The sequence below is a fragment of the Homo sapiens genome, chromosome 2 (assembly GCF_000001405.40).
Source record: "Homo sapiens chromosome 2, GRCh38.p14 Primary Assembly".
NCBI classification, from domain to species: domain Eukaryota; kingdom Metazoa; phylum Chordata; class Mammalia; order Primates; family Hominidae; genus Homo; species Homo sapiens.
This window is the reverse complement of record NC_000002.12, coordinates 50253906-50275524: the sequence shown is the minus strand read 5'-3', so window position 1 is coordinate 50275524 and position 21619 is coordinate 50253906. Positions and strand designations below refer to the sequence as shown.

Sequence of the window (21619 nt, the reverse complement as noted above, 5' to 3'; positions counted from 1 at the left end):
CCCATGAATAGATTTTTTTTTTTCTGTCTGAAACTTTAAATATTTAAAAACAAGAGTTCTAAAAAATATTGCATTTAGATTTCAATCATGAATATTTGTCTTTAATAATTTTAGAAATGCATGTGCTGAATAAAGCAAGTTAGACTAATATTTGACAAATCAAATCTTTGTTGAAGTTACAATCTGCAAATCTATATTGATTTTCATAGAATTTTTATAAGCTATCACTTCTTGCTGCAGTAATCATCCCTCTAGTTAATAACACAAGGCCTGGGCAAGTAGACTTGGTTTATTCTGTGACTGTTCATTTATTTCCCATTCAAGCAATTTTCTTCAACTGTCACTCTGACATCTAAATTTGGTAGTTCATTGTAAAAGATAACATTGTAGTCCAGTAGCCTCACTTCCAATTACACAGGACCTCTAAAGGAGCAGAACAAATGGAGTGATGATATTCTTGGTGTTTAAAGTATCTGTTTTTATGATGCTTAGTTTCTTTTGCAGAAACCATGGTCAATACCTTGTCATTCAAAACATATGAAGTCTTCTAAGCTATCTGACATCAATTTTGTAACACATGCCACACTTCTAATGTGAGTTAAGTATACAGAGAAAATCTGTTGTACAGAAGCCTGTTTTTAAATTTTGACTTGGTTCACTTCTACAGCCTACAGATTGTAGGCTTCGAGACTCTATTTAGGCAACATCGACTACTAACTACATTTTTATGGGTTTTTTTTTAAGTAGTTGAAAGGCATTTTTGACTATAATTTGTTAACATTTACATTGTGGACTTTGGCAGCCAGCCTATGCTCATTTTAGAGATTAAAAAATGGAGGCAATATCTTCAGAAAGTTTGAGATACATTTTATATTGAAAAGTGATGTCTATTTTTACAGATTTTAGTTTATTTTTCTTCCTTCTATCTCTTTTTCAGTCTCCGCAATAGTCTCTTTTTTTAAATTATACTCTAAGTTCTGGGATACATGTGCAGAATGTGCAGATTTGTTACATAGGTATACACGTGCCATGGTGATTTGCTGCACGCATCAACCCATCATCTAGGTTTTAAGCCCGGCATGCATTAGGTACTTCTCCTAATGCTATCCCTCCCGTAGCCCCCCAACCCCCAGCAGGCCCTGGTGGATGATGTTCCCCTCCCTGTGTCCATGTGTTCTCATTGTTCAATCCCACTTAAGAGTGAGAACATGCAGTGTTTGGTTTCCTGTTCCTGTGTTAGTTAGCTGAGAATGATGTTAGTTAGCTGAGAATGATGGTTTCCAGCTTCATCCATGTCCCTGTGAAGGGCATGAACTCATCTTTTTTTATGGCTGCATAGTATTCCATGGTGTATATGTGCCACATCTTCTTTATCCAGTCTGTCATTGATGGACATTTCGGTTGGTGCCAAGTCTTTGCTATTGTAAATAGTGTCGCAATAAACATACATGTGCATGTGTCCTCATAGTAGAATGATTTATAATCCTTTGGGTATATACCCAGTAATGGGATTGCTGGGTCAAATGGTATTTCTAGATCTAGATCCTTGAGGAATAGCCACACTGTCTTCCACAATGGCTGAACTAATTTACACTCCCACCAACAGTATAAAAGCCTTCCCATTTCTACACATCCTCTCCAGCATCTGTTGTTTCCTGACTTTTTAATGATCGCCATTCTAACTGACATGAGATGGTATGTCATTGTGGTTTTGATTTGCATTTCTCTAATAAGCAGTGATGATGAGCTTTTTTTCATATGTTTTTTGGCTGCATAAATAATAATCTCTTTTATATAGTAATACCAAGTGGAATTAACATGGACTTTGGGTTGTGTATATAAATATTAAGGTTATACTTGACTAAATTTTTCTTAAGATGTATCAGGCCCTTCCTATGTCAGGTTTTCAATTCTATTGTTATTTTAAATATAGTGAGCTCCTTCAATTTATACCAAATTTAAATTTAATAAGGGACTGTAAAAATGAGATTTGCACATTAAAGTTAAAAAATTTCTGATTTACCAATAGCACTCGAAAACACAAACCATCCAGATCTTTCATCTACTCACATTTTGGGGAGAGATCATGCTGGAAAATTTTGCATGAGTTTTGGGTTAAGACATAGACAAATAAAAGAAAGTGGAAAATGGAAACTGTTTAACTCATTTGAGAACTAACTTTAATGCAGGCTTGGCCTAATTAAACTGGCTATTTATATAAACAGGTTTCAGTTCATTTGTATGATAAAGTCCTAAAAATGTAATTATTGGGGGGAAAATGTTGTGCAGTTTTCATTTTGGTAGATTGCCAAATTTTCCTCCAATGTATTTGAATCCAAACTTCCCTTCCTTTGAACAGTGTTGAGAGTTGCCCAACGCTCTCTGTCAATCTTTTCAATATTTGCCAATGGTACCTCAATGTCGTTTTCATTGATCTTTCTTTACTAGGTGGTTGGACATGTTTTTGTATGTTTAGAGCCACTTCTTTTAAAATTTTTATGTGTTTTTTAAGATGTTTCTTCAATTTCTTAAATTCATGAACTTCCTATGCAGACTTGCCCAGTTTTTAATTGAATTTTTGGGTTTTATCTTATTGGTTGTAAAAATTCTTTATGTATTACAAATTCATTTTTTTTCATTAAGGGTTTCTTTTTAAATTTCTCTTTTAATAAGTAGCATGCATTTTTAGAATGTGTTTATGTGGCAATCTGTGTGTTTTTGCAGTTTTATTCTAAATCTGGAAAATTTATGATCCTTCCTTTTATTTCTTGTAATTTGTATATTTAAGTTCCCTTTTGGGGAGATTATCACTTTATGCTGTATCTATTGAGCCTCTATTGAAAGAGGAAGAATTAACTGTTGGAGTGGATTTTATTTATGCCATAGTTTTATTTACTCTTCCATTTTTTCCTGCTTTTAGTCTACTTTTACTTTCTTCATCTCTTCTTCAGACTCTTGTTTCAGAGAATCTGTGTTTTCTTTTGACTTCATTGAAACTAGATTCTCAATATTTTCTGGCTAAATCTTGGAAAAATTTTTGGTATTTATTTTCTGTTTGCCACTTTTTTCTACCTCCAGTTGTTCAATGGGAGCTGTTGTTTTCAGTATCAAGTTTTATTGAATGCTAATATAGTAGTGGTAAACTAAAGAAGCAGTCAGCTACGTTTCTCCTACTGTCTCTTTCTCCACCCTTACCAAAACACCTTTTCCTGTGGCTGTCTCCACTTGCAGATGGTAGGTCTATAGTGAACTGGTGTCATAGGTCTGACCTGTGGTGATAGAATGTACTTCTCTTTGGTTGACCAAAATGGAGAGTTACAGAACTTCTTGTTTTCTACGTTTTCTCCGCCACATTGCTAAATCATCATCTATTTCATGCAAAACAGCCAGCCTGTGTGTTCTCTGAGTCAGACCTGCTCCCCAAGGTCAGGGACCCTCCTGCAATTTGTCCTCACACCCATTTCCCCAATTCCAAGCACTTTGAGTTCTGTAAATAAATATTAAGTCTATCCTTGGGATTGTGTGACCCCCCCTTGGAGGAACTCAGACTGCATAGTCCATTACCTCTCGGGTGGCTTTTGACCTAGTGCTTCGTCCTTTACCTAGGTCCAAGTTTCAGTGCAGTCCATAGGAAATACTTCTTCATAGATTGGCTGTTCTTTAGTTTTATTTGATTTTTTTTCTCTTGTCTTTTTAAAAAATTTTGTTTATGAAGGAAAAGGAAAGTACCATTATTGTACTGTTATTCACCAAAATAGGCAAGTTTACATTTTTTAGCAATGCCAGTCATGTATATAATCTAATAAATTAATTTAAAATAAGTACAAGATTTATGAATAGGTTTCTCAGTTGTTAAAATTTTCCTGTGTGCCCATAAATGTACTTTGAGTTACATTTTTGCAAGACAGTGACCTATAAAATCTTGTTAAAATGTGTCACTTGCTCTCATTGGGTTTCAACCTGTCCTAATATGTTTTAACACCTTGATGGTTTAGACAGAAAGCACCATTTTCAGTAAGACTGAAGAAAATAGAATAGAATTTTATGGAAATAACCATTCCTAAAATAGCTCTTAGTTGCACTGCACCAATTTAAAAAATGACCATTTTGAGTGATCATTTGGATGCTGAGAGTGAAAGAGAGGAATATGACAATTATCACTGGTTTTTCCTCTACTAAATCTTAATTATACTCCTCTGTAGACAGAAAATATATTTTTTCTTGTAGACAAAATACAACATTCTGTCCTCTTTAAATCATGATACTTTCCATTATTGGTAGCTAAGTTCAATTATCAGACTCCACAAGAGTTTTAAAAGGTCATTTCAATCAGGTAGCCTAAAAGCTAATGTGAAATACTGCATTTTTGTGTTTTGTATCAATATTGTCCAGTAGTGTTCACACTACTTTACTATATTACTTATGAGTAACACTTTTTAGTATTCTGAATTGTTTTCATTTATGTTATATCATTGTAACTATGCAGTTGTGCATATAATTGCATACATACCCATAAATGGCATGAGTATTTGAAAGACAATTATTCAAAAACCTATATCTGTATATGGCCGGGCATAGTGGCTCATGCCTGTAATCCCAGCACTTTGGGAGGCCAAAGCAGGTGAATCATTTGAGGTTAGGAGTTCGCCACCAGCCTGGCCAACGTGGTGAAAACCCGTCTCTACTAAAAATACAACAATTAGCCAGGTGTGGTGTAGCCGCAGCTACTTGGTAAGCTGAGGCAGGAGAATTGCTTGAACCCGGGAGGTGGAGGTTGCAGTGAGCTGAGATCGCACCACTGCACTCCAGCCTGGGCAACAAATGAGACTCTGTTTCAAAAAAAAAAAAAAACTATATCTATATGCATTTTACATATAAATATATAATTTGCTTGTACGTTATACTTTCACGGTGTCGATAAACTGTGTGTATAATGGGAAAAATCTGTTTTAGAATTCAAAATTCTGATAGTTCTGAAATATATTGAGCTGAGACATACCTTTTATTTTTCTGGAGAAAGGATGAATAAACAATTTAATTAGTAAAGATCTCCAATTTTAAATCCTTTTGCATAGTTTAGAGGACTCCAAATACAAATAGTAATACTACTTAAGGTAAGCAAATTCTCACAACGCTCAATATTTTCTAGAAGTACTTAGTGTTTCTCAGTCTAGCTAGTGGATCTATAATTATTAAAGTTTCATATGTATACAAAATAGTCTGCAATTCACAATTTACTTTCCCCACGCTCATGTTACAAATGATGGTAGGTTGAATTTTAGTAATACAAAATAAGAGGCTCATGGTGACCAGCAACCATTTTATTTAACCCCTAATCTTTTTTATCACCACACCCACTTAATCTATATAATGCATCTGGGATTCTCCCACATGGTTTTGAGTCATTCTCATTTGTACCTTGAAATACAAATTTCCTTCAACACATAATGGGGGAAGTTCTGTGAGACTTTGGTCAGAAACGGAGGGGATAGTTATCATGCAGATAGGGCTTTTTAATTTAATCTAATAATTTAATTTAATTTAATTTAATTTTGTTTTAACAGAATGTGCTTTTTGTAAGTCCAAATAATGGAATTTAAAGTCTGAGTTTATAAATTCCTTATGGAGGGAAATAGAAAGAAAAACTAGAGTAAAATTTAAGGAACGAGTCTTTTCCCAAATTAGACCTTTCCGCCTCTTTAAGGCTCAATGTTAAACTCTATGTTAGCAGAACCTCTGCTTCCCACATCCTAAAAGTTGTTTTTTTGTAACACAATAATTGATATTTACATTTTCAAAATTGCGCTAATTTATATATCATGAGAAAACTCGACTAGTTTGCAAAACGGCAGGCTTTTGGCAGGTGTAGAAGTAGTGTCTTTCTTTTTAAAAACATATTTTTACTGGACTTAACTTCTAGCTATAAAATTAATGTTTGTTTATATATTCATGACAATATTGGAGATATGTTGACATGTTTAAAAAGTCAGATTAAAGTCACCAAGAATTCCATTGGCCAGATATAATCTGTTATTATTTTGGTGCATGCCTTGTAAGTATTTTGAAAAGGAATCTGTGTAAATACGTAGACGTAATCATGGACTTAAATACAAAGTTGGGAAATACAGTGCATACTATCTTTTAGCTGCTTTTATATTTAAGTGAAAATACAGCTACAAAATACAATTATTTTGGCAGAAACAATACAGCAAAGGGAAGAGTATACAGTATTCCACACCTGCAAGGACTCATAGAAATAACACCAAGTTGCCTTCTCGGCTGGAGTGCCAGGGGACCATGTGACCCACATCTGGTACTTCTTTATTCATTGAAATAATTGCCTACCATATGCTGAGCCCACAACAGATTCTTGCACAATATTAGTTGTGATCTTAGGCAAGGCACTTTCCCTGTCTAAGTCTGTTTCCCCATGTAAAAAATGAGGGTTCTGCACTAGTTGGCTTTTACTATACTTTCCATATCTACAATGTCACAATTACCAAATTAAGCGACTCTTATCTGATAATCAGAAACCACAAGAGCTTGCATAGTCTGCTTGGCATTACTCACCTGTCTAGGCATCAGTTTTTAAAATACAGGCATGAAGCATCGTTTCATTAACGTAGATATACAACTGCGTTTGCAACTCAGAGGCACAAAGAAGACATTGGTTATGCACCTATGCTTTGTCAAGTAATTGGCTAGAAGCTATGTGGCCTAGATAAAGAATCTGGATGACATAGTTCCTATCTACAAGGAGCTCTGGAGATTAATTGGGAGGTAAGACAAAGATAACACGAATCAATTGAAAAGCAAAGATCTCACAGACAATATTTCATTTGAAGTGCTAAAGTTGTCCTACAGACATTGTCTGGGTGATGTGTGCTATGGGGATTCAGAAAAGGAAGGAATCGCCCCCTGGGATCCTTGGAACCCAGGCTAATGAACCTTAAGTGAAGGGATTGACTCCCTGAGTCTGTGAGCTCAATTATATTCCATAGCCATGAGCTATACTCTGAACTCCCCAGCTACTTTGTAAAGTGTCCTGTTAATGATCAAAATAGATACAGAAGGACAAATCCTCCCTATTGGTTAATTCAGTATGTGCTCCCCAGGTCACTGTTGGGTGTAGTACTAAGCCTAAGTAGGATAATAAGAAAGCATATATTTGTGTACTTAAGGAACTAGTAAATTATGTGTTTATGAAAATTAAAGAACAAAGCAATTTTCAGTCATAATTGGCTTCTTCTCTTTCTTATTCAAGCCCAACTCTTCTTTCAAATGCCAGCTCAGGTTTAAATTCACAGAATTTTATTTTATTTTTATTTTATTATTTTGAGTCAGAGTCTCACTGTCACCCATGCTGAAGTGAAGTGGCACAATCTCTGCTCACTGCAACCTCTGCCTTCCGGGTTCAAGCAAATCTTGTGCCTCAGCCTCCCAAGTAGCTGGGTTTACAAGTGCACGTTACCACACCCAGCTGATTTTTTGTATTTTGGTAGAGACGAGGTTTCGCCATGTTACCCAGGCTGGTCGCAAACTCCTGAGCTCAGGCAATCCACCTGCCTCTGCCTCCCAAATTGCTAGGATTACAGGTGTGAGCCGCTGTGCCTGGCCTTAAATTCACAGATTTTTTTTTTTAATCACTTCCACCTCTGGATCTCTCTCTTCTTGGACTTCAAATAAGATAATGTCTGTTAAATGAAGTGACCAATGTGAAACATATTTTGAAAATCATAAAGTGCTTTTAAAATGTGAGCATTATTTATACAACGGTTACTTCTAATTTGGCTTACCCTCAATAGGGGTCTTAAATATCCAGTGTGTAAGATTTTCGTTCCCTATAATACCTCATATGCTATGGGCATTAGGTAAATATTTCTTGATTAGTTGTTATAAATCGAATGTCAGATCGTGACAATGTTGTGGTAATTTAAATAGGAAAAAAGCCTAACATTTGCTCCCCAAAGAATGCAAGCAGCTTCATCCTTCTGAAAAAGTTAAAAAGTTGGTAGTCTTATTCATTTTTGTTTTCAACTTTGGGGCCCTTCAGGATGTTTATGGCTCAATTTTCAATTGTGGCATTATTGAAATGAATAGTTCTTTCTTACTTTGAAGAAATATATGTACCATAAACATTATTCTTCTTCTGAGTTTTACATTTTGTTTATCAAGGACATACACTAATACATTTAACATAGTATTTCTGAGAAAAAATATGAATACAGCTTACTTTCTTCAAAATGCAGAAACAGTGACAAGGAAATTCATTCACCATTGGTCAAAGGTAGACACAAAGTCAGAAATGGGACTAGCTTGTATTTATATTTAAGCTGCTTTTCCTTGTACCTTTCTTATATGCTTTATTCATCTGCCTCTCCAGTTAAACAAAGAAATAACTGATTATTATTTCTTTTCTGACAACCTCACAGAGCACATTAGCCTCAGAAAAACAGAATCACAGTAGCCTATACAAGGGATTGCTCTGGCAGTTCTTTTCTGAGGCATGATCATAAGGTGTGCACAAATTAAATAATTAATTCCCTAGGTAGCTATGCTATCTGTACACAGAGATGAAGTTGAGTTTTAGTTTTATCCATTTTCTATAATAAAGAAGAATAACTAATGTTTTCTATACTTGTTTATCCAAGTAATTTTGACATAGGTGAATGGAGTTATGCTCCCTTTATGCTTTCTTAAATACCAAACGTATCTTTTTGTGTCACTAAACTAGAAACCATCCTTCTTCACAGCGGAGTCATTAATGCCAGGGAAGAGTCTGTTAGGCAAAGCAGTATCGAGGAAAGACAAAAGCTGGAAAGTAGACAGGGTCAGAGTTTGCCTTGGCCAGTGTTATTGACAACTAACTTGCTGCTTCCTTCTTTCTGGCCACACACTCTTATTACCATTTTCAAACGCAACTTTACCTTAGTTCTTCTAGAAAGAAAATATGTGTGTGTGTGTGTGTGTGTGTGTGTGTGTGTGTGTATTTATATACATATATAAATATATTTTATATGTAACTAAATATATAAAAATTATATATATTATAGAGTTATATCATAATATATAATTATAATAAAATATAATGCATATATAAAAATTTATAAACATTATATATACATTTATAGTATATAATATATATTTAGTTATGTTGAATTCACACTGTCCATTTCAGGGTGGTTCTTGGAAAAACTGGAGTCAAGTGATCTCAAAATTGATCCTCAGCCAGGAGTGGTGGCTCACACCTGTAATCCCAGCATTTTGGGAGGCCAAGGCAGGTGGATCACCTTAGGTCAGGCGTTCAAGACCAACCCGGCCAACATGGTGAAACCCTGTCTCTACTAAAACTACAAAAATTACCTGGGCGTTGTGGTGCATGCCTGTAATCCCAGCTACTCGGGAGGCTGAGGCAGGGGAGTCGGTTGAACCCAGGAGGCAGAAGTTGCAGTGAGCCAAGATCGTGCCACTGCACTCCAGCCTGGGCAACAGAGTGAGACTCTATCTCAAAAAAAAAAAAAATAAATAATAATAATAATAATAATAATAATAATAATAACAAAGAAATAAATAAAATAAAAAATTGGTCCTCAAACCTCTATCTTTGTGTGACCGTTTTTCTAGCTTTAACTTGCTCCTCTCTTGCATTTGAAGATGTAAGAATAGCCAATCTTTAAGCCAAAGAAATTATTTCTAAATGTGGAATGCTGGCTTCCAAGAACCCTGGGTGAAATGTATTTGCTTAAGTGTGAATGAGTGTGGTGAGGAGGACATATGCTCGGAAGATGACTTTTTCTGGTCTTGTGTCCAAATATCACCTCTGTTTTTATAAGGTGAAAACTTGATAAAGTAAATTGGTACCTGAAGAATTGTGCTATGTCTTGCTTTTGGTTTCTGTATTTTTCTTCTTTGTTCGTTGCTATTGGAAGTAGTTTCACAAAAATGAATCAGAAACAGTCTTGGGCATTCTGTCCAGGAACTAGTAACTCATGTGGTAATACAGTAACACTTATCCAGGTCTTTATAGTGTCATGATGTAATCACAGTAGCACTTTTGTTGGAGAGATTAGCAGTGCAGTTACTCTCCCCTCTTTATGATAAGCCCTTAGACCAGTCTCTTCTGATGGTGCACCTATAATATATGTAGAGAGAGTTTTAATCTCACGTAGAAAAGAGCTGCCCTTTCCTGAGTCTCTGGCCTTGCTAGGATTAATTAACAGGAAGTTGCTTGTTTCTGGGAATTCAAGATCAGATCAGAGTACACATTTTTTTTCGGTGTTTGTTGTCCTTGCCCAAGACTTTTTTACCAGTAAGCAAATATATTCCCACCATGAGGAAACCTAGAATTGGTGAGTTGGCCTATCTCTATGAAAAGTCCCCCAGAAATGGAGAAGTTTCTATACTTCTTCATATGATACTATTAAACTCCCATATCAAATGTTTTTGGAAAAAAAGAATTTTCTGGCATCTGGAAATTTTAAAGGTTTTCTTTAAAAAACCTTTCTACATGTAATTAATGCTTTGGGCGCTATACCCATCAATTATTTTAAACTCCTATTTTGTTATTGTTGTTTTCTTGAAAAAATCTAGGACCCCTGACTTAATTTCACATGTGATTAGTCAAGCTTCTGCTGGTCCTAGTGATGACATTATTCCAAAGAAAATAGATGTGTGGTCTTGATATGAGACTCATGGTCTTGTTCCCACTTCTTGTCTCCAAGAGACAGAGGCCTAGATTATAACTCTTTACTGAAATGTTTCCACAATGTTCTTCCTGCCGTGTGTACAGAACACTCAAAAATCTGTTAAGAAAATTGACATATAACTGTGTTATAATATTCTGGGGGAGTTTCTTCATTTCATTGTACCACTTAGGGAGATCATCCTTGTGCTGGAGAACATGACAGCCTACTTCTCATTCACCTCTTGCATTGATTTATTATACATAGATATATAATACATATATTTAACATATATATGATATATATTTTGCTGTTTGTTGCCTCTTTCTGCTGATGAGAATGTCTGACATTTCCTCCTTGTTTCTCTACCCATCTGACCGTAATTTACCTTCTTTCAAAATGATTGCTTTGTCGTTTACCTGTACATGGATATTGCTTTGAAAATGCTTTCTGTTTTAGAAGGAATGAATGGCTAGTCTCCTTGGATATGAAATGTTAATGAATCTCCAGAGACCTAGCGACTGTTCTACAATGTTATCTATTCTGTTTCTATGTGCGTATGTGTGCGTTCAATTGTGACTGATTTTCTTTGTTTCTTTTTTTTTAGCCAGTAGAGAGCTGTTTCACTGTTTTTCTTTAAGGAAAATATATAAATACACATCTTATTGAAAAACTAATTTAAATGTTTATCTTACTGCCGTATTATCCTTAATTGATAAGTCTTAGATTGCACAGTCCTACTGCATAAGATAGTAATCATTTCCCATACAAGCCATTTTGGTATGTTAGAAGAAATATAGCAGGTTGAAAGCTTCACTCAACAGACTAGGTTCATTAAATCTTAAGGACCCTTATGATACTGAACTTGAGAATGATGAAAGCAGTAACAGGCCATTGATTTCACACGATGTCACTTGCTAAATGATCTCCAAAGCAAGAGAGCAACCTCTAGACCAATTCTGGTCTATGCTGGTCCCAAGCCAAATAGCCAATCAATAGAGTGATACAAAGTTATGTTGACTCCTTTGAATGTAGCTGCCACCCTCTAAACAGGCGTGTTATTGAACTAGGTGTTAAGATGGAAGGCACAGACAGCTTGGAGACCTCTAAAAGGATGCATACTCTGATTTCTTGAACCAATGTTATTGTTCTTATTGTTTTTATTCTTCTCTTTATTTATTTTCCTTCACCTTCAGTGGTCAAATCACTTAAAAATTTTCTCACCTGTTTTAAGTCCCTATGTTTTTAATTTTGTACTTTCCACAGTTTCTGCAGTAGATATATTATTTAATGACCAACTGTAATTAAGCCTATTTGTTATATATAACATATGAATGATCCCAATCAGAATTGTTCATATGTGTTTGAAGACCTAATAGCTACCTATATAAAAATAATAATTTGTGTCATTTGGACCTCTCAAATAGGTGAGAGGGGAGATTGCCCTAAGTCCATTTAATTAACATTTGTTGAGAGTACACACAGTGCCACCTTACCATAAGTACATTGGTTCTACTGCTTCAGTATGGGACAGTTATATGAAGGGCAGAACTTTCAAATCTGAGGAATAAATAACAGAAGGAACACCTATGTGTTCCTCCTGCTCACCAACTTTATGACACTGAACAGGTCATTTGCTGTTTGTGTATGTGTGTGTGTGTGTGTGTGTGTGTGTGTGTGTGTGTATGTGTGTTTTCCTCTTGGTAAAAATGATCATCACCTTGCCATGTAGTCTCCAATTAGTGCTTTAAAGAAAAAGTGAGATGATAGACAAAATTCAGCCAGTGTGTGGAGTACTGTCATGTAACTCAGAAGAAAACATGAGTTTCTATTCCATGATGTGAAAGGTCTAAGGGCATTTCAAAAGGTATTAATCTACCAGGGAATGAGTAATAGGATTATTTAACTGGGTATCTATGAAGGACTTTAAATTCTTTGCCAAAAACTCCAACACATAAGAACACATGCAAAAGAAGAAATGGCTATAATTTTGGTGAACATTGGCAGGATTATCTTACAATGGGAATTAATAATCTGTGGACCATTGAGGCGATGCCTGGTTTTTCTCAACCAGAAGCATGGAGGAAAATGACACCACTGCAGCTACATCTGTAGAGAATATGCTTTGACTTTTCCTTATATTTTCACAACTAAAATTGACTGCTAGAATAGGGTAATGAATCCCTTTCTGGATCTGAGTCATATTTATGACAATAGAACCTACTAAGGCTCATAAGAATTTCAGCTTGGAATGATTCTGTTCTTCTAAGTAGGAATTATCTTAACATGTATTCACAAAACAAATCAGCCAGGGTGGTTTTGCCTAATAACATTTAACCCAACCTTTTTAGTATAACAGTAGTAATTATAGATTTAAAAAGAGAAGACCTCAGTAATTACATAACTAGGTTCTAATAAACCTGGAACTGGTTTTAGACTACTATTTCTATGGATTTTGTATTATATTGATTTTGGGTGGAGTTGCTAGAACAGCCATGTAGGGTATATGATTTTAGAAAATTAAAAAGTTAACTGCTAGCAGTGCTTATCCCATACACTATTCAATTCTTCTGTATTTATGTCTTAATTTTAATCATAGAAAGAATTGCTAGGCAAAATAAAATGTCCTCTACTGTGTTGTTTCACAGCCATAAAATACAGAAAACATTCTGTGCAATTTTGTTGAAAGTCAAATAAGAATGAAATAAATATAAACCAAAGAAGTCATTGCATGTTGTCTGCTGAATTGCCTCACTGATAAATTTAACTTTCTACTTCATGCTCAGTGTACTCTGGAATCAAGTTCAAGGTTAACGCCGGCTTTGGTGGAGTGACATTTTAAACTCAGAATAGAGCTGGAGATGCCCATATAAATTACCTGGAAAAACTCCTTTATTTTCAGAAGAAGAAAATGAGGATTATTGTATAGTTTCAATAACTTTGGCAAAGTCACAAAGCAAGGAATTAGGACTAGATCTATAGTTTCCTGATTCAAGGTTGAGAACTTCCACATTTGCAATCTTATTTTTTACTCATTTTCACATAGGACAAGGAGAATTTATTAATGAATTTAGAGTGTAGACACTGCTCTGATGGAAGAGGTAAAGAATTCACTTTATATAAAAGAAATAGTATTTTTACATATTTCTATATTGTTAACATATCTTTCAAAATTAAAGGAATCTATTTTGGAGCTGAATTTGCTACACTGTTTTGGTTGGTTTATTTAAAAATTTAACACACATATCACTTTTATACAATAACCTAGGGCATTAGAGTTCCATAAGTATATTTATGTCTTGTGACTTAAGTCTATGGAGGCTTTGGACTTCAGCACATTTCCTCTGTTTTGGCCAACACTTTATTCTGTGTCAGCTATACATTACATTGGCTGAGAACATAATCTTGCTGCTTTCAAAAGAATCATAACAGAGCTTTCATTGTGTCACCTTTCAATTTAACTCCAGGAGAAAATGAATCTCTCTGAGCGTACCTTAGAGGCTTTCCTTGTTATATACACTTGTTAAGCAAAGTCTGGGAAAAATAATTAAATATTTTGAGAGTTAGTGCATATGACTTCATTTTCAGGGTCAAATTTGGCCTAGGGTAATGTGTATGTTACTTCCCTCCCAATCTATGGAAAGTCTATATTCCTCGGGGCTTCAGAGTTAGTGAGGTGGCTTCTACAGTGTAAATGCTCAAAGATTTGCAATTTAGAAGAAAGAGTTAATAGTTTAATTAGCAGTCTGGTTGTCTCTACATGATCTGAAATCAATCTGGGGGGAAATGTTGGAAAGACTTAGTAAAACCCATGAAGTCTTTTTGAGGGATTTTTTTTCTCTGTTCTTTTTCAATTGAAAAGAAGGAAGACTGTACAAAATTCATTAACCATATATTCCCACTTCAGCCCCCAATTTAACCTGACTCAAAATTGAATCTGTACTTTGGAGGAGCCGTAGAGGAACAGGAGAAGAGACTGATCTCCTGAGGATTTTGAGTGTCTCGTTTTTCAAGTCACAGTTTTGTCTTGCTGAAATCTGTGCTTCAAATATATGGCTTAAGCTGCTATGGTTTAGTTCTTCATACATCTTGGATTAACACTGCTCTGATACTGTCTTCCTTTTCAGAAATTTCATTTCTACAGGTTAGGTCTGTGACTAATCTTATTTCAACTCTGTAAGACGGCTTCTTTCAAAAAAAAAAAAAAAAAAAACGGAAAAAAAAAAAGCTTGAACTTCTTTTGTCATCGGTGTTTGCTTTGCATTAAAAAAAGTGATTGAATAGGAATTATGGTTCTTTTGTGTGTCTCTTGCATTTTCTCCCTCTGAGGAGTGTGGTTGTATTCCAATAGAACAACAGGGTCCAAATGTGTTGAGTCTCCGTCTTAACCCAAAACCTAATCATTTCCTACATCTTACTAAAAGGATGCCATGGATGTTTGTGCAAGTTGTACACTTGTTAAGGTGGCACCATTTATACTGTTTTCACAATGGAGTTGCATATTTAATATGACAATTTTCTAGGAAATATCAAGCAAATGTCTTGTTCTGACAAAAATCATGAAAATTTTCAATAGGCAGAAGTAGAGGGTTTTGGAGATTTGCTTTTTTTCTATTTTCCTAAAGGCATCATATGGGCTACCAGTACCCATGACCACTATGTTCTAAGAGACAGAGGGGTCTCATAGATAAAAGTAGTGGTTATGATACAGATTGTCTAACTAGAGTTGTTTGTTAGGGAAATGCTTTAAAATATTTTATGCTGAGGGTCAACAGAGTTGATAGAGTACAGAGCATATTTTCCAGTAGTGATGGATTTCCTTCTCTCCTCCCACTATTGAAAGGTACAAGAAGTGCAGATAACCCAATTTCATCTGTACATGCAGGGGTTTGAACCTAAGCCCGCGTTACACTAGATCCTATTGCTCACCTATGCACCACAAATGATAAACCACCTTGATGAGTAGAGGAAGCAGATCAACTAAGTACAATAACTTGTACCGATAAATGTATTTAGAAAACCAAATAGTAAACATGCAAATGACATCCTGGGACAATATAGTATAGTGAAACCTGTTTCATAAAATGATTTCTTAACATTTTTGGAAAAAAGGGGAACACTGCAAATATTCAGATAAAGCCAATTCATGTGTGTTTCATGGAAAGGTATTATTGAAAGCTAAATATTACATTTGGAGAATATTTTAAAAGAGATGAGGAGTTAATTGTGTTTATAACTTTGAGTTTGGCAAAAATCTACAAAAGAGGGCAGAGTTTTCATTTGAAGATGTCTTCTTAATTATTTACTTGATTAATTAGCAGGATACTAAAAAAAAGTCTTCCATGTACACTTCAGTATGCTAAGTAGGAATGTAGAGATGATGTGGTATGCTTACCTGGAGGAAGGTAGCTAAATTCTAACATAACAAACCCCTTATATTACTTAAGCATCATGTTTCTTCTCTGATGTTTCCTATCTGAGTGAATGGCACATCTTCTACTCCCCTTCCAGGTCAGTTGAAGCAACAGTCCTGATGTAGAAGCTGCAGCAAGTTATAAAAAAAAATTTAGCTAAAATTTGATAAAGTTGACTATACTCAATAGATTTTCAGTGTAGACAAAACAGCTTTATATAGTTTTTGAAGAAGATGCCATGTAGGTATCTTCTTCTTTCACAGCTGAAAAGGAGAAAAGTCAATGCCTGTTTTCAGAGGTGCAAAAGACAGGCTGACTCTCTTTTAGGGGCTAATGCAGCTGGTGAATTTAAGTTGAAGCCAATGCTTATTAACCATTCTAAAAATCCTAGGGTCCTTAATAATTATGCTAAATGTGCTTTGCCTGTGCTCTATAAATGAAACAGCAAAGAGTGAATGACATGCTGTTTACAGCATGATTTACTGAACACTTTGAGCCCAATATTGAGACCTACTGCTTAGAAATAGAGATTCTTTTCAAATTATTACTGCTCATTGACAATGCACCTGTCACCCAATGATGGAGATATACATGGGGATTAATATAATTTTATCCTTGATAACACTTCTATTTTATAACCCAAGGAAGGAGTAATTTCAACTTTCAAGCCTTATTTAAGAAATACATTTTATAAAGTTATAACTGCCATAGATAGTGATTCCTATGATGTATCTAGACAAAGTACATTGAAAACCTTCTGGAAAGGATTTACCATTCTAGATGCCATTAAGAACATCTGTGACTCAGGGAAGACGGTAAAAATATCAGTGCTAATAGGAATTTGGAAGAAATTGATTTCAACCTTCATAGATGACTTTGACAGGCTCAAGACTTCAGTGGAGGAGGTAACTACAGATGTGGTAGAAATAGCAAGAGAACTAAAACTAGGAGTGAAGCCTGGACATGTGACTGAATTGCTGCAATCTCATGATAAAACTTGAACAAATGAGAAGTTGCTTCTTATGGATGAATGAAAAATGTGGTTTCATGAGATGAAATGTACTCCTGATGAAGATGCTGTGAACATTGTTGAAATGACAACAATGGATGTAGAATATTACATAAACTTAGTTGAAAAAGCAGCAGCAGGGTTTGAGAGGATTGACTCAAATTTTGAAAGAAGTCTATTGTGGTTAAAATGCTATCAAACAGCATTGTATGCTATGGAGAAAACTTTTGTGTAGAGTCATTTGATGCAGCAAACTGCACTGTTGTCTTGTTTTAAGAAATTGCCACAGCCACCTCAACCTTCAGCAGCCACCACCCTAATCAGTAAGCACCCATCAACAATGAAGCAAGATCCTCCACCATCAAAAATATTACAGCTTGCTAAAGGCTCAGATGATTTAGCAATAAAGTATTTTTTAATTAAGTTATATACATTGTTTGTTTCAGACATAATGCTGTTGCATACTTAAATAGACTACATTATAGTATAAACAACCTTTATATGCACTGGGAAACCAAAAAAAAAATTGTGCAGATACTTTATCAATAAAAAATTTAAATTTTTTGTTTTATATTTTAATTTTATCATTTGAAAAACCATAAAACTAGCTACTAGATTTGTTTTTGGATAGTCTCTTTTCTCAGTACTCCGTAGCACTTTAACGATACTCTTTAAATTATCTTTCTTTGCTGATGTACAGATTTTAATACATTACACTTTTCTTTATTATCCAACTTCCCATTAATTAGTCCTTTATTATATGTATAGTACAGAAAAAATTACTCGTTGGCACTTCCAGAGGTTAGGCTCTTACCCTTTCAGATACTGGTAGACAGAGCACTGTCTTCCTTGATGATTACATTTCAAATAGATGACTCCTAGGCCCTTGAGAAAGACATTTTCAAGCCGTAAATCTGGCAAAAAGCTGGGAGAAGATTTAAATCTCAAAAGGTGGAGAAAGTATTTAAAAGTTTTCTAAAGTAAATGCTGTCTATTCAAGCTGAGGGGCTTGTGTGGGTCAGTTATTTTAACTTTGTTTCATATTACAAGCAATATCCTTTACTGTGTTTTGCAAATTTTGTTTTCTTAAGGAGCAAAGAATTGCAGAATGGGGAAATCCATAAATACATGTGACCTCCCATAGAATTATTCAGGGTAGGTAACCTCAGTTTACTATTAAAAAGGTAATAGATTATCGGTAGCCTCCTGTGGAAGGTTTTGACAGAAAAAGTTTTACATTACTTTGTGACCATGGACAAATAATTTTAGCTCTTTGAATATTAATCTCTTTTAAATCCATAAAATGGAGATAATAATAGCTTCTCTATCAAATTTACTTGCCTCATAAGGTTAAAAAAATACATGGAAATGTTAGGTCATTTTTTTCAAAGCCTGGATAAACACCCTTTGCTGTCAATATGAGACCCAGAAATACTCATCTCTCAACACAGTATAAGATTCTTTTTTCTCACATAATAGTCACATTTCAGTCGTCCTAGGATAGGATTGTACAGTTCTCAACCTTTGGCTTCCATCTCGAAGTCTGAAGCAGCTGATTCAATTTTGTCATCACTAGGCAAGAAAGAGGGAAATGGGCAGGAGAATGCAGACACATTTCAGGATCTGAACTAGAATAAACACACATCATTTTTGCTCATCTCTCATTGGCCAGAAGTTAGTCAATAGACCCTTCAAGCTGTAAAAGAGAATGGGAAATGTAGGCTCTACGCAGTTATCTATCTGCTCAGCTGACACTCAAAAGTTCTGTTATTAAAGAAAGTAAAGTGGATAGGGGTAAACATCAGCAGAATCCAACTCAGGAATAAATGGAAAGAATGATCAAGACAACAGAAACTTTGTGAAAGGGACAAATTGGGTAGCATAAAGTAACTCAAGACAATGCAATAGGTTATTGAAGTATCAAAATTTAGTCAAATTGATAGCTAGTTCATTTTTAGAAAACAAAGCCTTCCTACTTTCTCCTCAGGCTTTTTAAAACAAAGTCTTTAAATGTCTGATATATAAAATTCTGTTGATGGTGTCCAAACAGCGGTTAGAAAATGATCTTACATTAAAAACCTATGTAGCCAACCAACTATTGTTCTAATGCTAAATATGTTTAATGGGTAAAAACGTTTGGTACATGGTCTGTGAACCTAGTAGCATCATTTCTCCCAGGATATTGCTGAGTTTTCAGAAAGCTCTCCATGTTATGTTTTAATTCTTGCAAATTGCTTGCCAATTTAATACAAGCTGCATCTAAACAGTAAGCAATTGCTTATGATAATGAGTGCAAACTAATTTGCTAGAATATGTTAATATTCACAAAGCAGTTTTATACTGCCTGCTGTTTCAAAAATACTGCTCTCTTGGTTAAATGTAGCTTTTAGACAGCGTTACTGTTAAACATCTGACTAAAATCATCATTTCAATAGCATCTACCCAAAAGTCATATGACTGTGACTTCAGTATTCCAAGGAAGGAAGAGAAAGTCATGTCATTCTTTGATAAATGATCTAGAAGATTTGAGAGCAAAAGGAATCACTCTTAATAATTAATTTTAATTAGTTAATGATAGTAATAAGCAGACTATAATGTGTTAAAAATGGCCTCTCTTCCTCATGAGTCATAAAACTTAATTTAAATGACTTTGAAAACAGATGGCATGCAAACTTTATTTGAATACAATAACCCATTTAAAATGAATTAAAATTTTTAAAATGACCCTAGAACTGGGAATTTTTAAGTTGGAAGCCTGCTTCACCTCTGAGTGTTCTATCCTTTCTGTTTTATAGGTTTTTCTCCACCATTTTCACTTCAGAGCTTAAGGACGTATGTTTCAAATGTGAGGTTATTTTGAGATTGGGGACCTGAGTGTTCAAGGATCTGATGTGCAAATTGGAACCACCTTGTAATTTTAGTCTAGAAAGATAGAATTTTTTGAACCAAATACAAAAGAAAAAAGATTTGACACTTACCTGCCCCATGTCTGATTTGGTACTTTAATCCGTGCTCTTGTGTTTCAATTATTTCAACTTCAAAAATGACTCTCATACATAGTTATAATCTTCACATGGGTGGTAAAATGTAAAATTCTCCATAGAGAACCTCTTTCTTTTCTTTTTCACTTGAAAATCCATTTCCTTTGTTAAATTTAATTGGCCAAAGAACTTCATGGGTTAAAAAATCTTATATCGTTGAGTTATAAATCTTACAGATACCCACAATTTCTTGTCAATGTAAGTGACCTAACTTTCCAGTTTTTTTTGTTTGTTTGTTTTTTATAACCGTTATTATAAACATATGTGGATAAGCCAGGAATGGTGACTTATACCTGTAATACCAGCACTTTCGTAGGCCAAGGTGGGTGGATCGCTTGAGCCCAGGAATTCAAGACTAGCCTAGGTAACATGGCAAAACCACATCTCAACAAAAAAATACAAAAATTAGCCAAGTGTGGTAGTGTGCGCCTGTAGACCCAGCTATCTGGGAGGCTGAGGTGGGAGGATCTCTTGAGTTCAGGAGGTCGAGCCTGCAGTGAACCACGATAACACCACTGCTTTCAAGCATGGGTGACAGAGCAGCAGAGCATGACAGTGTCTACAAAAAAAATAAATGTGGATAGATAAATCACAGAAATGGCTGAACTTTACTCTTACTGCCATCTTCATAGGCTGTTGGAGTAGGCTTGAGATAAGGAATGAGTAAACAAACAAACCAAAGTTATATTTTTTTATTTCTTTTGCTGTTACTGTTTCTACTAAGCATAAAACCACCACTTAAAAAATTGAGAAATGAACAAAGAGACAATGTACCAGAATCTTTGGGATGCAGCTAAAGCATTGTTAAGAGGGAAATTTAGAGCACTAAATACTCATATAAAAATGCTAGGAAGAGCTCAAATTGACACCCTAACATCACAACTAGAAGAACTAAAGAACCAAGAGCCAACAAACCCAAAAGGTAGCAGAAGACAAGAAATAACCAAGATCAAAGCAGAACTGAAGGAGCTAAAGACACAAAAAAACTCTTCAAAAAATCAATGAATCCAGGAGCTGGTCTTTTGAAAAAAAATAATAAGACAGATAGACTGATAGCTAGACTAATAAAAAAAAAGAGAAAATAATCAAATTGACACAATAAAAAATGATAAAGGGGATATCATCACTGACCCCACAGAAATACAACCAACCATCAGAGTATACTATAAACACCTCTATGCAAACAAACTAGAAAATCTAGAGAATATGGATAAATTCCTGGACACATACACCCTCCCAAGACTAAACCAGGAAGAAGTTGAATTCCCAAATAGACCAAAAACAGGTTCTGAAAGTAAGGCAGTAATAAATAGCCTACCAACCAAAAGAAGCCCAGGACCAGATGGAATTACAGCTGAATTCTCCTAGAGATACAGAGGGGAGCTGGTACCATTTCTTCTGAAATGATTCCAAACAATTGAAAAGGAGGGACTTCTCCCTAACTCATTTTATGGGGCCAGCATTATCCTGACA

At 35.0% G+C, this 21619-nt stretch overlaps 1 protein-coding gene across 19 annotated transcripts in view; it reads left to right on the top strand.

Annotated features, from left to right (window-relative positions):
- NRXN1 (neurexin 1) overlaps positions 1 to 21619 on the top strand; it is a 1113630-nt gene that overhangs the window by 756608 nt on the left and 335403 nt on the right. The gene's annotated exons all lie outside the window — the stretch shown is intronic.